This window comes from Homo sapiens, chromosome 1, assembly GCF_000001405.40.
Source record: "Homo sapiens chromosome 1, GRCh38.p14 Primary Assembly".
Classification (NCBI taxonomy): domain Eukaryota; kingdom Metazoa; phylum Chordata; class Mammalia; order Primates; family Hominidae; genus Homo; species Homo sapiens.
In genome coordinates, this window is record NC_000001.11 from 185,400,783 (window position 1) to 185,406,718 (window position 5,936).

At 40.8% G+C, this 5,936-nt stretch overlaps 1 annotated feature.

Annotated features, from left to right (window-relative positions):
- Positions 295-589: a silencer, noted in NCBI's record as "tiled region #834; K562 Repressive non-DNase unmatched - State 7:EnhWF". NCBI's record gives its function as "represses a minimal TATA promoter and a strong SV40 promoter by Sharpr-MPRA in K562 cells {active_cell/tissue: K562}" and the evidence as "EXISTENCE:reporter gene assay evidence [ECO:0000049][PMID:27701403]".

Below are 5,936 nucleotides of genomic sequence, written 5' to 3' on the forward strand. Positions count from 1 at the left end.
ACTCCAGCCTGGGTGACAGAGTGAGACTGTCTTAAAAAAAATAATAAATAAATATAAAAGGTGAAAGGTGAAGGTGCTCACTCCCCATGTTATTCTTCCCTTCTTTCTTTCCTTAGAGATCATTGTTCCGAAGATAGCACATGTATCATGTGTCCATTGTTGTGTCAAAAAGTATGGCCCCTAAAACTCAGTGACTTAAAACAACAACCGCTTATTATTGCTTATAGTCCATAGGTCAGCTGGGTGGTTCTATCGACATGAGCTAGCCTAGGCTGATCTGAGCTGTGCTTGCCCCTTTGTCTGTGGTCAATTGGCAGATCAACTGGGTGCTGGCTTGTCTTGGTATGGCCTTAATCATATGTCTGGCGGTTAGCTGATTGCAGACTGGGCAATGGGGTTGTCTGGGCCATGCATTGCTCATCATTCAGCAGGCTAGCCCAGGCTTATTTACAAGGTAGCAGCAGGGTTCCTTGGAGGGAAAGTAGCATGGAGGAATGCAAGGCCTCTGGCAAAACATTCCATCTCCTGTGTTCTGTTGGTGAAAGCAAATCACAAAGACACCAGATTCAAGGAACGGGAAAATACACTTTGCTTTTTGATGTAAGGAGTAGTAAAGTCATATTGTAAGTGGGAGTAGGTTTCCAGGAGGGGTGGAAAATTGTGACCATTTTGTGATCTGCTGCAAAGCATATATATTTTTTCCATGTATGTGTTTTACATTTTTAGTAGATGTGTTTATGTTTATAAATAATATTTTGTATTATTATAAAATTAGCATAATTTAATACCCTATTCAATATATGCTTTTGCACATTGTTTTAAAATTCACAATTACGTTTTTGAAATGTACTGTTTTGATGAAATTCATCTCATGTAATATCTATACATTCTGTTGTTGATGAACATTTAAATTATTTCCCATTATTTTTTGCAATCACCAGCAAGTTTGCAATGAGTATGCTTGTACACTATTTCATATGCATATATGACAGTTTCTCTAGATACACTACTTAAAATGGACCTATTGTTCTAGGATACATACGTTTTCAACTTTATTGGATATTAATTGCCAAATTATTCTCCAAAGTAGTTTAGATGAGTTCACACACCCCTCCAGGGTGTATAACAGCTTAATTTCCTCTATATCTTTATGAAGTATGCTTCACATTATCAGTCTTATTTTTATTTTGTAGAGCCAGTTGGAGAGTATCATCATTTTAATTTCATGTTAATTGAATGAGATTGAACGTATTTTCATTTGTATACTGGCCTGATAAATTTCCTCTACTGTGAATTAATTGCTTGTTCATATATTTCAACATTTAAATTTTATCTTGAATATTAAAAATATTTTCACTGAATTATTTATCTTTATAAATTGCTAGTGGTTTAAAAATACATAAATACTAGAAATGAGACATTATTGTGTACCATCTTTTAGATTGTGGTATATCTTTTAATTTGGTTTATTGTACTTTCTGTTATACACATACTTTAAAATATTAATATAGCAAAATATGTCAGTATTTTTCTTTATAGTTTGTGCATTTTTGTCTTGTTTTTGAAAACATTCATAGCTGGATGTCATAAATATATTCCTATATTTTCTGCTAAAGGTTGAAAGTTTCTCTTTTTATGTTTAGTTCTTCAATCTCTCTAGAATTTATCTTGTATATGAAGTAAAATAGGGATCTAATTTTATCTTTTTATCTTTTTTCAAATAGAAAGCCAGTTGTCCTGGCACAAGTTTTCAAATAGTTTTCCTTTCTCAATGATTTGTGATGCCAACATGCCATATCCCAAGTTTCTGTGTAGACATGAGTTTGTTTCTGGGCTCTTTGTTCCATTGGTCTATTTTTCCATCTCTGCACCATTGCTCTACCCATTTAATGGCTGTGGCTTTATAATAGGTTTTCTATCTGGTAGGGATAATATTCTTCTTTATTCTCCTTCAAAATTTTATCGGCTTTTTCTGGCCCTTTGCTCTTTCACATTAAATTTAGAAGTAGTTTGTCAAGTTAAAGCGTGAAAAATTCCATGCAAAAATTAAAAAATAGAACAAGGTAAAGGGGATTGAGAGGGAAGGGCGTCAGGTTATGGTATTAAATAGGGTAGTGTGGATAGGTTTCATTGAAAAGTTAAGATCTGAGCAAAGACTTGTAGGAGATAAAGAAATCAGCCAGTTTTCTGGTGACACGTCTTACAGGCAGAGGGAACAATCAGTATCAAGATTCTGAGGCAGATGGGATTGAGGAAGAGCAAGTAGGCCAGAGAGACTGAAGCAGCATGAACAAGGGGAGAGGCCAAGGAGCTGAGGTCAGAGTGCCTGTGGTCAGAGTCCAGTAAGCCATGGTAGGGATGTCGGCTTTTGTTCTGTGTGAGATGGGAAGTCATTGCAGGGTTTTGAATAAAGTTGTGCTGTGGTCTGACTCAAGTTTTAAAAGAATCACTCTGGCTCCCATGTTAAGAATTGAGTGTAGGGAGTAAGAAGAGGACCAGTAATGTGGCTATTGCGATAAACCAGGGGAGGGAAGTGGTGGCTTGACCTGGGTGGCAGCAGTGTAGATGTGAAAAGTGGCTGGATTCTGGATATATTTCACAAGTCGAGTCAATAGGATTTCTGATGGATTGTTGTAGGAGTGGGGAGGAGAGCGGAGTCAAGGATTACTCCAAGGGTTTTATGAGCAACTGGAATATAGTGTTGCTATTAGCTGGTTTAGGGAAGACTGTGGGAGGAACAGTTTTAGGTAAAGATCAAAACTTGGTTCTGAGCATGCTAAGTTTGCAATACCTATCAGACATCTAAGAGATGAATCTGGAGTTTAGGGGAGAGGGGCAGGGTGGGGCTATAGATTTGGGAGTCATTAGCTTATATACCTGGTATTTAAAATGTGGAGACCAGATGAGATAATCTAGGGAGTGAGTATAAAGAAAAGTGGTCCAAAGACTAAGCTCCTTCGTAATGACACAGAAGCGGGGAAGGGAAGTGCTGGCAAGGGAAGGGCATCGTCCCTTTAAATGATATGGAATGGGGGAAGGGCGTGGTCCCTGGCTAGGGCTCTATCCCCTGGCCTGTGCCTGCGGACCTCGGCGAGGACAGGCATTTTTGTTTTCCTGCCCAAATGTTGCATTTCCCAAGACCACCCTGGCCTGCCAGGCCCCCATTCTGTGCCTATAAAAACCCCAAGATTCGGCCGGGCGCGGTGGCTCACGCCTGTAATCCCAGCACTTTGGGAGGCCGAGGCGGGTGGATCATGAGGTCAGGAGATCGAGACCATCCTGGCTAACAAGGTGAAACCCCGTCTCTACTAAAAATACAAAAAATTAGCTGGGCGCGGTGGCAGGCGCCTGTAGTCCCAGCTACTCGGGAGGCTGAGGCAGGAGAATGGCGTGAACCCGGGAAGCGGAGCTTGCAGTGAGCCGAGATTGCGCCACTGCAGTCCGCAGTCCGGCCTGGGCGACAGAGCGAGACTCCGTCTCAAAAAAAAAAAAAAAAAAAAAAAAACAAAACAAAAAAAAACCCAAGATTCTAGCAGGCAAACACACAAGCGGCTGGAAGTCGAGAGGATGCCGGGAGCACACCGCAGGCACTGGCACGCCAGCAGGCTATCGACCAGCAGAATGATGTGGAGTTTGGCAGGGCAGTCGGAGGAGAGCCTGGGCTGCTAAGCAGACCCAGGGCTTTCTGGAAATGTTATAAAACAAGTGAAGTTTGTGGTATATAAATTATCCCTCGAGTTAACAGCCTCGGCCGTTTACAAAAAAACCACACACACACACACACACACACACACACACGACGGAAAAAGGAGGCAAAGAGATGGGGAGTAACTAGTGAAGGATCTGTGAGAAGGAGTGGCCAGAGTAAAAGGAATAAAACAGGAAATTGTGGGGTCCTGGCAAACAACTCAGTATAATTCTCATTTTTTGTTTGTCCTTCATTGTATTATTTCTCTACTATATTTTTCCCAGCTAGAAGTTGGATTGAAGAAATTAAAAAGTGTGTTACTTTCATTTTCTTGAATATGTTCTTAATCCTGGTTAACATCCTTGTTCAGACTGCTTTTCTTTTCTCTCTTTATTTAGCGAGCAAATAACTTTGAAGTTTTATGAGACAGGATTATCTCAGTCTAAACAAAACTGGTTAGTATTGGAGAAAAGAAGGAGTAATGAGAAGGGGAAAAGGTGACTTTGAATGAAGAATCTTTGCTAAGATGAGCTCTGCAGGTACAGAAACAATAGAGGATGGAGTCATTGTGCATCTCTTCGCTCTCCTACACACCCAGTCGTGATGTGTGCCCTTGTAAGCAGAGAAGCAAAATATTGCAATAGTTTACAATGACATTCAGCAAGTGCAGCAAATCCTGTGGCAATGGATTTTCCTGCTTATATGAAGCCTGAGACATGGAGGTCGTGCTTTGTGACTTTAGGAATGGGCAGAGTACAAGTCCCTGGAAGATGCCTATCTTTTAATATAAGGGCTCTGGTAGCGTTATGCAAAACAACACAGAGGTTTAGTCCCTGCCCCATGGAAGCCTTCACTTTAAAGGGTGTGGTGTGTTGCAAAATGCATGAAGTCACTACTTAGAGGTATACTTAATAAGGGAGGATGAAAGTGACGCAAATGCAGTTCTCAGGATCAGAAGAGTAACTTGCCAGCAAGCATGTATTTTAATTGTCCTTTTTCTCTTCATGCTGAGAAATTATGTAAAACTTTGAGATTCAAATAAGGAAATTTGAAAATGATCTCACAATACTGAAACATAAAATTTAATAGGCGAGGAAGCAACATATCCTAGGTGGCAAAGTTAGAACAAATTCCTTCCAGTCTTCTACATCTTTGACAAGACAATGTGAATTGGTGTTTCTTGAGGATGAAAATCAATGGATTAAAGATCTAGACCAGGAACTGGGTAAAATACCTACCTTTTGACAGATTGGAATTCAGAGCATAATTCACTTTCACTGCTACAGTAGCATGAAAGGTAATGTTTGTTTTAGTATATCTCATCCAAGAAGCTCAAAACTATCTAATACATCTGGATTATTTGGTTAGAAAAAGCATTTATTGGCTAATTCACAAATCACAGGAATGTTTTAAAAGCAATTTGATTTTATCCAGTGATCGAGTGTCACAAGTTACTTTACGGCTTTAAAGAGGACCGGTCATCAGCGAGGAGTCTGAGAGCTGGTCTCCCAGCCCCTCAGGCATGGGTCTGTCTGAGCTGGGGATTGGTTGGAAGGACTACAGGGGTTTAAAATGTTCCAAGATGTTTCTGTTAAAATGATGGTAGTTGAATAGAGTGGGTTCCTTTTGAAACATGGCGATTCCATTCCTCTTCCTGTAGCTGTGGGAGGGATAATTGCAGAGTGGCAGCATGGGAACTAGCCCAGAGATAGGGCTCCTTTGTCTCCGTAAGTGAATTTCTCCTCGTGGCAAACCTAAAGGTCAAATCCTCCTCTTGTGCAGGCTGCATCTGACCACAAGTGGGTTGTCTGAGATAGTCAATAGGGTCAAGCTGCATGGAGTGGCCTGGTGGATGGATTTATTCATCCATCTATTTAAAATGTTTTAATGATTGCCATCTATGTGCCAAGAACAGTCCTAAGAACTAAAATACAATGAGGAAAAAACTAGATGAGGATCCTGTCCCTATTAGTAAACTCATGTAAAATTAGGACTTGTGCTAAGGACTAGAAAGCTATAAGATTCTGTGTTAGAGCAAAATGGGGTGGGGTAGAGTAGGGCATGAGCCTGTGGAATAGGCTGGCCAGTGACATAAGGGGGAAGAGACAGAGCAGAGAAGTGGCCTGTGGCCCAGCAGTTGGGTTGGCCTTGCTTAATTTTCCAGGACACATGAGGCCAGTCCTGAAGGAGAAAGAGTACAAGAAGAAAGATCACCTTTGAGAGTGGACACTCACCCAGGGCAGCGCAA